This window comes from Homo sapiens, chromosome 9, assembly GCF_000001405.40.
Source record: "Homo sapiens chromosome 9, GRCh38.p14 Primary Assembly".
NCBI lineage: Eukaryota > Metazoa > Chordata > Mammalia > Primates > Hominidae > Homo > Homo sapiens.
Genome location: NC_000009.12, coordinates 134316722 through 134330626, shown reverse-complemented (window position 1 = coordinate 134330626; position 13905 = coordinate 134316722). Strand labels below are relative to the sequence as shown.

At 61.4% G+C, this 13905-nt stretch overlaps 1 protein-coding gene across 1 annotated transcript in view, besides 7 other annotated features; it reads right to left on the bottom strand.

Annotated features, from left to right (window-relative positions):
- Positions 1–4172, bottom strand: part of RXRA (retinoid X receptor alpha) — a 114131-nt gene extending 109959 nt beyond the window's left edge. Inside the window, exon 1 of the mRNA NM_002957.6 lies at positions 3968–4172. Within this exon, the coding sequence (NP_002948.1) occupies positions 3968–3995 (28 nt within the window). The 5' untranslated portion in view covers positions 3996–4172. The remainder of the gene's footprint in view (positions 1–3967) is intronic.
- Positions 1027–1956: an enhancer, noted in NCBI's record as "H3K27ac-H3K4me1 hESC enhancer chr9:137220517-137221446 (GRCh37/hg19 assembly coordinates)". NCBI's record gives its function as "activates a minimal SCP1, AML or CMV promoter by ChIP-STARR-seq in primed H9 embryonic stem cells {active_cell/tissue: H9 hESC(primed)}" and the evidence as "EXISTENCE:reporter gene assay evidence [ECO:0000049][PMID:30033119]".
- Positions 1957–2886: an enhancer, noted in NCBI's record as "H3K27ac-H3K4me1 hESC enhancer chr9:137219587-137220516 (GRCh37/hg19 assembly coordinates)". NCBI's record gives its function as "activates a minimal SCP1, AML or CMV promoter by ChIP-STARR-seq in primed H9 embryonic stem cells {active_cell/tissue: H9 hESC(primed)}" and the evidence as "EXISTENCE:reporter gene assay evidence [ECO:0000049][PMID:30033119]".
- Positions 3497–3636: a silencer, noted in NCBI's record as "silent region_20480". NCBI's record gives its function as "represses an Ori minimal core promoter by ATAC-STARR-seq in GM12878 lymphoblastoid cells {active_cell/tissue: GM12878}" and the evidence as "EXISTENCE:reporter gene assay evidence [ECO:0000049][PMID:35858748]".
- Positions 4375–4424: a silencer, noted in NCBI's record as "silent region_20479". NCBI's record gives its function as "represses an Ori minimal core promoter by ATAC-STARR-seq in GM12878 lymphoblastoid cells {active_cell/tissue: GM12878}" and the evidence as "EXISTENCE:reporter gene assay evidence [ECO:0000049][PMID:35858748]".
- Positions 4495–4674: a silencer, noted in NCBI's record as "silent region_20478". NCBI's record gives its function as "represses an Ori minimal core promoter by ATAC-STARR-seq in GM12878 lymphoblastoid cells {active_cell/tissue: GM12878}" and the evidence as "EXISTENCE:reporter gene assay evidence [ECO:0000049][PMID:35858748]".
- Positions 10668–11526: an enhancer, noted in NCBI's record as "H3K4me1 hESC enhancer chr9:137210947-137211805 (GRCh37/hg19 assembly coordinates)". NCBI's record gives its function as "activates a minimal SCP1, AML or CMV promoter by ChIP-STARR-seq in primed H9 embryonic stem cells {active_cell/tissue: H9 hESC(primed)}" and the evidence as "EXISTENCE:reporter gene assay evidence [ECO:0000049][PMID:30033119]".
- Positions 11527–12385: an enhancer, noted in NCBI's record as "H3K4me1 hESC enhancer chr9:137210088-137210946 (GRCh37/hg19 assembly coordinates)". NCBI's record gives its function as "activates a minimal SCP1, AML or CMV promoter by ChIP-STARR-seq in primed H9 embryonic stem cells {active_cell/tissue: H9 hESC(primed)}" and the evidence as "EXISTENCE:reporter gene assay evidence [ECO:0000049][PMID:30033119]".

The window sequence follows — 13905 nt, the reverse complement described above, 5'->3', positions numbered from 1 at the left end:
GGGGGCAGAGGAGAGGAAGGAAGGATGAAAGACAGAGCTGCACCCTATAAAATGGAAACATACAGGCAGGTGGGCAAGGTGCAGGGGGGAGGAGGGTGACCCCTCTACCCACACCATAGCACCCTGAAACTGATCAGCTTAAGAATCTCAGGACAAAGGTCTGGAAGGTGACCCCCAAATGGACACCAGCCCCCAACAGCCACAGGCCAGCCCCCCAGGCCCTTGTGGCCCTAGACCCCAGCCTCATCCCTAGCCCAGCAAATGGCCAATTCCTATGAAAACACACCAGTTAACAGGCCAACCCAAGGCCCTGGCCACCAAAGCCAGCTAAAAAACACAAACTCAAGCCTGGCAGAGAAGGGAAGGAGGGGCAGGTCTTGGCTTGCAAAGCCCGGGTCCCAGGGACAGTGTCCCAGCCCTGAGCCAGCTGGGGGTTGGGGAGGGCCTCTGCCCTGTGTCTGCTGGGACAGCTGTGCCCTCTTCTCCAGAGGACAGGCATTGCTCACCACTCGAGGTCCCAGCCCTGAAACATTTGACCCATGGCAAAACCAAACGTCACCCAAGAAAGGAAACTCCCCAGGCAGCCTCCACTGGCACTGGGTGGACCTGTAAAGCTTTCACCCCGCCCCCACACCACCTTCCATGCAGCTGAGGTCTGTCCCACCCTCTCCTGATGCCAGAGCCCCCTGCCACATGCACGACCAGGCCCCAGGGGCAGAGGGGCACACCCCTGAGTACCCCCTGTTCCCACAGTAATTCCACAGCAAATCCTGCAGGCACCCTTTCCCAGGGGAGGAAACAAAGACCACTGACAGCGACCTCCCACACAGCCACGGGGGAGATGGGGCAGGGGCCAAGAGAGGGCAGTCAGAGGGGCCTCCTGGTGGAGGTGAGCCCCCCACAGGCCCTGAAGGACAGGCACAGCTGGAAGAACCACCAGGTGCTGGCAGAGCCGGGAGCCAGTCACAGCAGCTGCCCGCGTGACCAGGGCTGCCGGCTCAACCTGCACCCCACACCCCAAGGGACTCAGAGCACCCGCCCCCCACCAGCCCTTCCTAGGGGCCCAGCTCGTCCCATCCACATCTGGGCAGAGGGTCACAGCTGCATGCTCGGGTCCAGGCCCAGCAGCCAGCCCTAGGCAAGGTTGGAGGCTAGCAAGCCAGGGCCACCATCGGACTGGGCCATTTTTCTCTCCCTGACACCTCCCCAGTCAACAAACAGGGCCCCTCCAGAGTTTACCAAAACAAACACCCTGCCGTCGGGCAGCGCCCGCGCTAAAAGACGCCCTCGTCAGGCCCGAGCGGGACTCCAAGCCCAGCCTCCTGAGAGTCACATGACCCTGTTATTTCGGGAGGCCCCGGAATGTGCTCTATTTTGGGTCCCAAGGGCTCTGATGTTACCAGAAGCCCCTCACACAGGCTGCAAGCTCACCCAGGCCCCCAAGTGCCCCAACTCCAAGAGTGGTCAGCGGGCCTACAGCTTTGCCACCGGGTCTCTCCACAGGCGCATGGGGTCTGGTGTGGTCTGAGACCTTTGGACTCTGTGGACTCCGCCTGAGTCCCACCATTCAGGATAAGGCCAGCGGGGGCCTTCTCCCCGGCAGGCGTGGGAGCGCGGCCAGCCCCGGGCAGCAGGGCCAGGAAGCTGGGGCTGCCTCTGGCGAGTCCCTCGGCCTTGCTTTCCTTCCAGATCTGGACGCTGCACTCATCCCTGCCCTCACTGAGCGGCTCGGTGGACACCGACTGGGATCCTCTCCCTGCCCACCAAGCCCAGCGGTAGTGAATGCTGGGAGGAGGAAGCCCTCTCTACCCCAGACCCCAAAAGCGGCTGGGCAGCTGTAAGGGGTGGCCGAGTCTCCCCAGCAGCTCCAGGTCTGACCGGTCGGCCAGCCGGGCCAAGACAAGCCAGGCCCTCCACCACCACTCACCCCGAGGAGGGATTAGGCTGTGTTGACAAAAGGGCTTAGAAAAGTAGCCGCTTAAATGGACCTTCGACTGCTCTGGACTTCAGAGCTGGTCACAAGCTTAGAAAAAAAATAAAATGTAATCAGAGCCCAGGGCTCTCTGCTCAGCCCTGGGGCGTGGGCTGCCTGGGAGGCCATGGGCCGGTCGGGAGAGCTGCTGCTCGAGAACAGAAGACTCCTAGCTTCCTTGTGGCAGGGGAGTGCCCAGGGAGATCCCTGGGGCAGTGGCTCGGAGGCACGACCTCTCCTCCTCACAGGGACTCCAGCAAGCCACCATGGCGACTGGGCACCCCTTGCTCCCTCGCCCTACATCCACCAACTCCGTGGACTATCCCTGTCCCACCCGGAGCATTAGAAACAGGGACCTGTTCGGTTCTCAGTACTCAGCTGAAGTGCAACCAGCCAGGCCCCTGCCACGTCCAGGGGCCAGACACTGAGCTGAGCATTCTTGTTCCAGAGGAATCGTCTGGGAGAGCCTAGCTCTGTGTGTGTGGATGTGTGTGTGCACATGTGTGAGTGCAAAGCTTTAACAGGGAAAGGCAGCCCCAGCCCACTCCACACTGCACTCGGTCACAGACAGCGCAGCATTCCCTCCTGCCTCACACTCAGCAGTACCACGAGCTGGGGGTGCTAATCCCAAATCCACCACCTTGTATCCTGGGGGCTCAGCCTCTCCCAGCCAGTTTTCTCATCTGCAAAATGGGCATGAGCGCCCACCCCTGGAGGCTGAGCCCTGGAGCTCATTCAAGGCCTCGAGCCCACCACTCCATCATGACAGAGGCAGGGAGTAAGCGTTAGGTCTGACAAACCTGGAACCCACCGCCTGCCCCGGTCACGGGGCAGCACACCTGCCTGTGAGTAGCAGAGGTACTCAGACTCTCACCCTCACATCCAGGAGGGGCTAGGTCCATGCTGGCTCCCCTTGATGCCCCATCTCACTAAACATCCCTGCAGCTACATTGGCTTCTGAGCACCTCCTGGGGTGGCCAAGCTGCACCCCAGGCTGCAGGGAGGGTGGGCAGGAGGGGCTACGGATGGCGGGGGCTTCATTCATAATCAGCTGTTTCGATTTCCATTCAGCACAAATCCTTCACCCGGCCTGACAGCCTGGCTGCCGTCCCACCACCAAATTAATATCCTTCCCGGAGCTAATTTATAAAGTCTCCCCCTTCTCACTAGCTTCCAAACCCTTGGGAGGGCAATGGGTGGGGGCCCCAGCCATGCCCTCTCCCCCTTCTCGGTAGGTCTGGGCCTGGAGTTGGCGGGCAGTCTGGGATAGGAAGCTACCGGGCGGGATGGCAGGAGGAGGAGGGAAACTGACCCTACGCGCCTCTGCGCTGTCCTGCTCACAAATGGAGAGCCAGCCTGGGAGAACACCCGGGGGTGCCAGAGTGAGGGGCCCCATTTCTGGAATGGGGCCTTCCCAGGTCTGACGTTCTGTTCATACAGCCCCGGGGGACCCTGCCCACCCGGGCGTGGGCTGCTTTGGGGATAACAGGGTCCCAGTCTGTTTCCTGGGCGGACACACACCCAAGGGCCAGCGGCCTGCTAGAAGCCGCAGCCCGACGGGCGGGCGGCGCAGAGGCCGCTCGGGGCCCAGCGCGCCGTCCCGGTCCCCAGGCCAGGGAGGCCGGAGCCGCGGAGCGCAGAAGTTGCTCCTCCCGCTCCGGCCGGGTTCCTGTGCGGCGCGGCTGCAGCTGGGCGCCGGGGCGCAGGCGGCCGCCGGTGAGCGGGAGACCCCTCCTCGTCCCGGGCGAACCTGCCACCCGCCCCCCGGCCCCGCCGCCCGCCCGCTGCCCAGCCCCGCCCCGGCCCCGCGAAAAGTTGCCCCGGGTCGACCCTCCCCGGGCCCGGCGCCCGAACTCACGCGAAGGTCGGCGAGGGGTCCGAGCGGGGCCCGGGCCGGCGACCCCCCGCGCGCGCCGCCAACGCGCCCCCGGCCCCCTCCCGCCCGCCGGCCCCCGGCCCCCGGCCCCGTCCCCGCCCGGCCCGGCGAGCACTCACCGAGCGGCAGGAAATGTTTGGTGTCCATGTCTGCGACTAACTCATGCCCGGCCGGCGGCGCAGGCAGCGGGCGGCGGGCGCGGCGGCCCCCGGCGCGGCCGGCCCGGGCCCGGGCGGCGGGGAGCCGGCGGCTGCGGTGGCGGCGGCGGCGCGCGGAGGCCGCGGCGCGGCGAGTTGTTGCAAAAGTCGCCCAACAATGTAAACTACTTGTGTCTGCGCGCCGCCGCCGCGCGCGCCCGGCCCGCGCCCCCGCCGCCGCGCGCCCGCGCCCCGCTCCGACCGCGGCGCTGCGGCGCCGGCGGGGGGGTGGCGGGGGGCCCGCGACGGGCGCTGACTCGGCGCAGCGCCGCCGCCACCGCTCGGCCCGCGCCCCGCCCGCCCAGCCCCGCCCGGAGCGCGCCCCCCTCCGCCGCCGCCGCCCCGCGATCGCCGCCCGCCCGGCCGCCGAGTTGAGAGCGCCGTGCAAACTTGCGAGTTCGCCTCCGCCAGGGGTTCCCGGGAGCCGCGAGGAGGCGGCGTGGGAGGGGGCGGGGCGCAGAGGGAGCGGGGCGGGGGCGGGGGCGGGAGCAGAACTCCCTCCCCGGGCCCGCCACACACTCGCGCACACACACACTTGCGCGCAAGGGCCCGGAGGAGGCGGAGAGCCGGGCCGGGAGCCCAGCGGCCGGGCCATTGTCTGCGCGGCCACACAAAGCGGCCGGGCGGTGGCCGCGAGGGGACCCCGGCCCGGGCCAGGCAAGCGCAGAGCCGGGCGGGATGGCCGCGGCACCCATACCTCGCACCCCGCCGCGGCGGACACGTGGGGAAACTGAGGCCCGGGAGTGGCGATGTGCCCCAACGGCAGAGGACAAGCTCCTCGTCCGGGGAAGGTTTCGTCTTCCGGACGCTACCCCCGGTCCACCCCACACTTTCACGCCCTACCCCCACGGAGAGACCCACGAGCCCACCGGGAACGAGGAGGGGTGCGCGCTTCGCCTCCTCATCGACCCGCACTCCTGGGACCCCTCTTCAAAGGCACCAGGCTGGGCAGGCGCTGCCCGGAGTTGGACACAGACTTTGTGGCCGGTGGCTATTTTTATACCCTGGGTAGTTCTCTGCCTGACTTTTAAATTCACGATTTGTTTGAAAACGAAAGGAAGCACTCCTGCCCCGGGACAGCTCGGGCCGCCTCCGCCGCGCGCCGCCCGCCGCCCGCCGTCTCGGGCGGCTGGAATTCGGATTTGGGTGTGAGCTACCTGCGCGCCGCCAAGCCCAGCCTTCCTGAGCAGGCGCCGAGGCGCCCCGCCGCGCCCTCCCTCCGCACCCCCACCGCGAGCTTGCTGACCACCTAGACCTAAGGGCCCGGGCTGCGAGGCACAGGGACTGACCATTCACGCAGGCTGCGCGTGGTGGCCCGGGTCAGGGGACGCTAATGGGGAGGGAGGTGAGGAGGTGATGACCGCGTGTGGACAGCCATGACACGGCCCAAAGATAACAGCCCGAGACCAGAGAGGTGTCCTGCTGCCTGGGTGCCCCTCAAGTCGGGCCACCCGGAGCTGGGTTCCACGAGGGCTCCGGTGGCCTGTTCCGGTGGGAGGTCTTGGTTCCACTTGGGACAGAAGTGCCCTGGTTGGGCAGCCCACCCCCAGCACAGCCAGAGCCCAAGGCAGCCCTCTCCCCCTCCCCCTCTTCACTGACCCCTGGGCCCCTACCAAAGGCCACCCCGTCCCCCTATTCACACACCCTGTCCAACAGGCAGCCTGCCCCACTCCCTCCGGGATGAGGGCCACTGTTGACACCTGGTCCTCACCCACTGTGGTTACAGCCACAACAGACCCACTTCCCCACTGCACATGGCATGCCGGCCCAACCCACTGCCCTTCTAAAACTGAGTTCCTCCTGCCAGGGAGGGGGGCGGCAAACAAAGGATAGGACTGAGAAAGAGCCCCCGTAAGCACCAACATACACTGCAAAAGTGCCATGTGCCCGCCGCGTTCCAGGCCTGTCTCTGTGACTGCTTGGGCCCCTCCTGACTGTACTCAGGTTGGGGGGTTGGGGGGGAGTCCCAGATAGACAAGGCCTGGGCCAGATTGCAGGTCCACCTCCTACCAACCGTGTGGCCTAGCTGGGTCACTTCCCTCCTTGTATCTCAGTTTTCTCATCTGTAAAGTGGGAACAACCACTCCCTCCTCACTGAGTCACTGAGATGACTAAGTGAGATAATATGGAGAGTCTGCGCTCGGGAGGACGAGCTCGGTGTGACAGTTATTGTGATGATGATGATGATGAAATGACGCTGAATTAGGCAGGCCGTTCGCCTATGCTCAGTGCAGGGAGAGCAAGGCTCTATCCAGCCAAAGGGCTCAGGCAGCTTTTGGGATCACTGGTTCTTGAGTCAGGTTTTGGAGCAGGGAGGTTCCATCAGGCAGTGGCCGCCCAGGCAGCAGGGCCGGCTGAGCAGCGGCCTGCAGAGAGAAGGAGCAGCAGGCCGCGGACGGCAGGTCAGGACACGCCAGGCAATGGTGGGAAGGCTGGGCTGAAGTGTCTGAGGTCACCTCCCAATAGTGGGCGGTGTGGCATGCTGGACTCTCCACCCCACCCCCATCTCACTCCTTGTCCCTGAAAACTCAAGACTCAGGAGCTGTTGGTGCCTGGAGTCGGGGAGGCACATGCAGACAGATTTCCATGTGGGTTCCTCCTGGGAAGGCTGAAGGTTCCAGAAGGGCCCTCTGTTCCTAAGAAACACCGGAAGGCGTCATCCCCTGCTCTAGAGACCACGTGGAGAGCGCACGGAGTCCGGAGTCCTGCAGATCTGGGCTCACATCCAGCCTCTGTGCCCACAGACGGTGAATGGCTCTCAGCCCCGCCCTTCTCTTCCATGGGGCAGGGGCCTGGGTGCTCGGCCGCCGAAAACACACCAGGTCCTTGATGGAAAATGACGATGCCGCTTGTTATTTCTGTGGCCACTACTTTTTATCCTCCCCCTCAGTTTGGAGCTTTTTGGTGCAAATGATTCTACACGAAACCTCCCGGGATAGTGGCTGCCCCATATGAAATGGCCAGGTCTGAGCCAGCCATGGAAAAAAACACCCCAGCCTTCCCACCATGTGCTGCTACAGCCAAAACTATTTTTATAGTAGTATCCATTTATTCACAACCTGCGATCTAAGAAGGTTTTGTTTTTTTGTTTTTTTGTTTGGGTCTTTTTTTTTTTAATTTCCCTGAGGGACGCTTTTTAAGGTACTTTGGCCTATTTCATATGCCTGTCTCGGCTCAGTCTTGTAAACAGTCCCGGGAATTGCTTGTTGAATAATATTTTTAAAGGCTGGTCTCTGTGCTGGCTGAGCATGAGGAAGCTGGCGTCTGGGTGGACTGCTCCCAGAAGTTCCCAGGACACCAACGGGGCTCTAAGCTGCTTCCAGAGGTTCCCTGTGGTCCTGAGCTGGTCACTAGCAGGACCTCACAGGGGTTTGGGGAGCTCAGCCTCCAACAAGGGAGGCCAAGGGCTTGGGTACTGCTGGGCAAGGTGGCCCGATCTGTCCCCAAGCACCTCAGCCTAAGGGGACTCTCTCTCACATCCGTTGTGGCTCCTTTGGGGACAACACCTTTTGTCTGTGGTGACCGATGATGACTCGAGCTGGGAAGTAGAGCCGAAAGCTCAGAGAGGCAAGGGGCCACCCGGCAGGTCCACATGGAACTGGGACTAGGCCCAGGGGTCCCAGCCCGAACCCCCTTTCTCAGTCATAGCTTGTCTCTCCATCAGTCTAGAGGGAAACACTCAAGCCACTTGTCCACACCTGGGCTCCAGTCTGTTCTGCTGAGTGGAGAGGAAGAGAAAGGATAGGAGGGAGGGGAGAGGAGAGGACAGGAGGGGAGGAGGAGGAAGAGAAGAGGACCCCTCTGCTCCTGGGTCTGGCCCTCTGGCAAAATGTTTGCAGGCCTGCAGGGCAGTCACCACTGACAGCGTCTGCCCTGGTAGCAGTCAGCTGGCTGGCCCTGCACACCCCAAACCCAAAGCAGTGCAGGGGAAGAGAAAGGTGAGGTCCTCCGAAGGCCAGCCGCTGCCTCCGTCATCAGCTGGGGTCTTACTTCCAGAACTCTGGGGAGCTGAATGGTGGCGTGAGCCAAAGAGTTCAGGTGAGTGAGGCTTAAGGGGACAGGAGCTGGTTTGTAATGAAGAGCCAGGATTTCAGTGCAGCTCCAGGCAAGAGACAGTGGGTTCCCTCCAGGGGCCACCAAAGAGCCCCACCGAATCCCAGCGCCAGCCGCAAGGGGTCACAGATGCTCAAAGAAGGGCAGGAACAGTTCTGAGAGTCCGGAGAGGAGGAACCTGAGCTTTCCAAGCTGCCTCCGAGGTGCCAGTCTGCTGCACACTGCCAGGTACCATCCCCTCTAACCCCACCCCGGCTGACCAAGACTCTGGTTTCCCCGTTTCCCAGATGGAAACACTGAGGCGAAGAGCAGCAGTGACTGACTCCAAACCGTGTGGTGACTCTGGCACCACAGTCCCCAGACCCAGGGCTGAGGTCAGTGGTCAGAACCCCCAGGAAAGACCCCAGACAACCACCGACCTCCGCCCCCAGCCTCCAATGAGCCACACCACCTCCCCGCTTCTCATGGCACAGGTCGGCCAGCCAAAGCAGCCGGTGCCAGGTGAGACCAAAGTCCAGAGAGAAGGGACATAGGTAACAGACTTGGAAAACAAGGTGCTGGGGAAGGTACCAGGAGGAAGAGGCCATAGCCTGGCTCTGCCACCAACTCTTACATGGCCCTTGGACAAGGGTACTCTCTGGACATCAGTCTCTTCTATAAAATAGAGAAAAGAACCAGCTAATCACAGAAACAAGAATATGACTACGGGGAAATAGAATGACAGCCTGTCTCACAGGAGCTAAGGAGACAGGCTGAGGCTGACGCTCCCAGCCTGGGGCCCAGCCCAGCCTCCCTGGCTCTGAAGGTGGCACGCCCCTCCCTGACACCTCTCCACCGTGCACCCCCAGACGCCCATCAGGCAAGGAGATTATGTGTTTTATCGGGGGCATTTATTATCGACACTTTCTACATACATCTCCCCCTACACATATGTGTACATACGAGGGGGATGGATGTGCAGGGGAAGGCCCCGAGCCCAGTCCCCCGATGTAGTCAAGCGGCCCCCATAAAGATAACGGGAAATGATTCATAATATTTATTTGACAGACATGATATGAACCGTAATAGTCTGTTGGGATTAAAAATATCCGTACGTCTCTGTCATCCACCAGTGTGGTTTAAATATGATCTATGTGGCCTCTGCGGCGGCGAGGAGATGGCAGCGGTTATTGACGGGCCGTAAAGAAGAGTCGTTTTGCATTGAAGGATGGGGAACTGAGCCCAGGAGTTTGCCTAACGCCCCTCGGTGCTTGCATCAAAATAAACTGTACTTTAAAATGCGGCTCCCTCCACCCCCACACTGCCAGCAAGTGGGGGTGCAGACGCAGCCCGGCACACATTGTTCCGCTCATTGGCTTGTGGAGGGCCTGGCGTGGCTCCAGGCTGCAGCTCAGGGTCCGATGAGGCTGTCATCCTCCCCGAGGAGGCCTCAGGACAGCCACGTGTGGCTAGGTCCCCAAAGGCCCTGGCCCCACCCCCTCTCCGTCAGCCTGTTCCCAACCTCGCCTGGCCTAAGCAGGCAGCACCCCCTGCCCCCAACCCTGACACTCTCAGCTTAAAAACTCTTTCATGCTGCCCACTGCCCTTGGGATAAAGTCCAAACTCCTGAGCAAAACTCACCAGGCCCTCCCTCCCTCCCTTCCCTTCATCATCTCCCTCCTGCCCGCTCCGAGCTCTTCCCACAAGAGCCCCCCAGGCTAGCACAGGAGAGACTGCTGTTGCAGGCCATCCACACCTGGCCACTCCGCATTCCTTGCTGCCTAAGCTCCAATGTGGCCCTCAGCAGCTCACCCATCTCCACCCCAGTCCCCAACACACACACACACGCACACGCACACATGCACGCATGCACACACTGCCTGGGCTGGCTTCTCTGCACCCTGCAGCAACCTGCATGTGCCTCTAGCCCTGGGCTGGCCGTGTCTTCCCACGGTCGGAGCTTGCTGAGGGCAGGAACTGGGAGCTCCAGTCTCCGCCTTCCCCACTGGGCACAGCTGTGGGATCAGAATGCTCACAGACGCTATTTTCAAGGGGCCCAGCTAGGCCACCGGGTCAGCGGCTTCTCTCCAAGCCCTAGTGGGCAACCAGGATACTTGTTTACATCTCAGTCCTTCTATACTTAGAAAAAATTATCTTCCCTCCCAGGGCCTCGGTTTACCTATCAGTAAATGAATCCGCGGCCCCGGGGACGAAGGCCCCTTGAAGGCTCAGGGGCATCTACCCACGAGGGAGCCTGGTAGGGTTTGCTGTGGGAAGCACCAAAGACAACCCAGAAAAATATCTGCTGGACGGAGGGTGGGGGGGCAGCACTTTTAAAACATTTTTTCTTTCCCCCGAAGATTAGAATGGGGGGACGCTTTTCACCCCACCCATATCACTGCCCCACCAGATCCTGCCCTGCCAGCCCCCAGCTCCGAGCCCCCAGCAGACAGCCACCACACTCCCTGAGGGGGAGCCCAGGCCGGAGGCTGATGAATCGCCAGCTCCTGGTGACAACTGGCCTTTGTTTCTCCCACTAACGAGGGTCCCCAAGGAAGGAGCCGCTTGAGCTGAGACGCAGGGAGGGGAGGGGCTGCCCTGGAAATGAGATCACCCAGGAGGAGGCCGGGCCAGCCGCCTGCAGCCCTCCAGCTCCAGGGGTCTGCAGCCTGGCCCCGGCACCACTCCTCGGGGCAGAGGCACAACCGTCGTAGGCAGGTCGTTGGCTGGACCGAAAGAGCATCTCTGAGGAGCCAAAAGACGCATCCATGCCTGCTTTTTAAGCTGCAGGCCTGGCCCCATCCTCCCGGGCCCCTGCCCGCCCTGTTCCCAGCCTCCTGTTTCATTTGCAGGGCTGGCCACTGGAGCACCTATGTGTGGGGCTCTCACCAGGCCCTCCGCCTCCTACCCAAGACTCCAGGGCCTTGCTGTCACCCTGCTGGGGCCTCCCATGGGCAGCAGACCCCTGGGTCTCAGGCTCCCCTGCCTCCCCTGCGAAGCCTGCCGGACCCCTGCATGCAGTAGGCGCTATCAGAGTGGGCTGGCTGACCTCACCCTGTCCTCACCTCCTTCCCGTCATCACTGTCTCCTCCTGCCCGGGAGTGACAGAGACCTAGGAAAGGCAAAGGGAGATAGGACCAGGAGGCCTTGGGTCCCACGCCCTGGACAACTGCCCAGGACCAGTGGGCTTTAAAAGGGTTTAATTACCAGGCCCTTTCCCAAAATCCCCTGAACATGGAAAGGGGGTGTGAGATAGGGGTGCCATGCCCTGCTGGAAGCCACTTGGGGGCCCCGGAGCCTGTCCACTAGGCCCCCGCCCTGAGGCACCCACTAGATTCCACAGAGTCACAGACCACCCAACCCTGGAAGTAACCCCAGGGCCCCAGCCCCATGTCTCTGCCCTGCGATGCTGAAGCTCAGGGCTGTAGGAACAGCTGAGGGCTGTACACGCTCAGGAAAGGAAGCCAGCATCCCCCAGGTTCCACCTGCCCTGCCAGCAGCCAAGGGAGGGACTGGACTCCGTCTGATTTCCACACCCCAGGGGTCAGCTGACTTCATTTGCTTCTGTGGCACAGTTGCTGTTTGAAGTTCTGCTGTTGTGATTGGGGATATTTAGTGTTTGAGAAAATAATGTGGTGTGTTCCAGGTTAATCATACCTATGTATCCATGGTAGACCCTGGCCAGGTGGTGGGAGAGGGCATCCTGGACTTTGAGGGGCCCAGGGGTCAGCGCTGTCTGATCCCGAGTCCCCCCCGGGCGAGACCCCAGGCCTCAGTTTCTCCCTCTGCAGCACCCTCGTGTAACTTGAATGAGATGTCTATACAGCCACCAGCCCAGGCCAGCCCTTCGCGGGCACTCAATAAACAGCCTAGTGAATGGGATCATCAGACTGGCCAGGGCGAGGCTCTCCAAGGCATATTCCATCAGGGAACATCTCAGCCCCATGGCCCGTGGTCATGCTCAGCAGGGAGTCCAGCAGTTGTGCGAAAGGCAAGCTTGCCCGTGGCCAGGCCCCAGCCTTAACTAATTTAAGCATGGCCAAAAACTTCCAGACTGTCCTGGTACTGATAGACTTGTCCCTGATCTTCTGGGTGGGTCCAGGGCCGTTTTAGAGAAGTCCATCCCTGGATGGGATGATGGGTTGCTATCCTGAGCCCATGGGCATGGAGCTGCCTGGAGGGTTCCTCCCCATGAGCTGCACCGGCTGGGTTGGCCCCCTGGATCTTAGCTCTTAAGAAGTTCTACACTCAGAAAGGCAGGAGGGGAACAGAAGTGCCACCAACAGGGACCCAGGGCTGTTCTGAGCTGGCTGGCGGGGGTATGGATTCCTGCTGTGAGCTGGCTGCGGGGGGGTGTGGATTCCTTCTGTGAGCTGGCTGGGGTGGGGGGGTATGGATTCCTGCTGTGAGCTGGCTGGGGGGGGTATGGATTCCTGCTGTGAGCTGGCTGGGTGGGGGGTATGGATTCCTGCTGTGAGCTGGCTGGGTGGGGGGTATAGATTCCTGCTGTGAGCTGGCTGGGTTGGGGGGGTATGGATTCCTGCTGTGAGCTGGCTGGGGTGGGGGGTTATGGATTCCTGCTGTGAGCTGGCTGGGGTGGGGGAGTATGGATTCCTGCTGTGAGCTGGCTGGAGGGGGCGGTATGGATTCCTGCTGTGAGCTGGCTGGGGTGGGGGGGTATGGATTCCTGCTGTGAGCTGGCTGGGTGGGGTATGGATTCCTGCTGTCACAGAGTGGCCACATGGACACTGGCAGAGAGGGGAGCTCTCGCTTCACCACGCCCATACCTTGTCACAACTCGGCAGAGAGGAAGAGCCAAGAGACCCCGGGGGAAGCGGGCTGTCCCTCACAAGGTGGTTAGCCCCTGCAACTGGCAGTGCCAAGGAGCTGGCCACCAGGCTGGCCTCAAAAGCCCCCAACACACAGCAGCCCAGCCACGGGTCCTCTCCGCTCTCTGGGTTCAGAGAGACATTAGCCAAGCGGGCACGCGAGAGACATTAGCCAAGCAGGCACGCGAGAGACATTAGCCAAGCAGGCACGCTCTTACTCTGACATCCTGGGTGGGGTCACTTCGTGGGTTTTGGAGCCAGCGAGGTGCCTGGATCCGTGCAGCCTGTCTGCGGGCTGACCATGGTGCAGGCTGTCTACTCCCCCAAAATGGGTGCTCAACATAATACATTGCTTAGTGAAAACAAAAGGCGGTTAACATTGCACACAAAAGGATGCCAGTTATAAATGTATACACAGAAATCTGAAGGAAAACACCTCCCACCCCCCGACTGGTGAACATTAATGGAGTGATGGGGGCTTCACACTCTTCTTTGTATTTTGCCTCCTTCTCTACAAGGAGTCTTTATTACTTTTATAATCAGAAAAAAAGTAGGGTTAGCAAGAAAGTCCCATCTGAAATCCATCTGGAACCTAACTCCTGGAGCCTGCAGCCAACCCCAGCTGGCCCTATCGCCCTATCTCAGAAGCACCCCTGCAGAAACCCCCTGCCACGTCACCCCATGTGACACCCTGGAAGCCAGCAACCGTGTCTCTGGAGCCCTCTCTTCTCCTCCCTAAGCAAGCCCTGTGCCCATGCCCTCCTCATCACCGGGGGTTCCCAGCCACCCCTCCCCCAGGCAGGCTGCACTCCATCAGTGTCATTCTGGAAACACCCCGTGTCAGCTTTGCACCGATAAGAACATGCTCACCCTTCATCCCGCTGCAAGGATCCTTGTCTGATCTGCCCACTCTGTCACTGGGCTGGATGAGATTAATAATACACCTAATTTCAGAGGCACAGAAGGTTGCATCTAAATGGCCAAAATATTTGGACCACA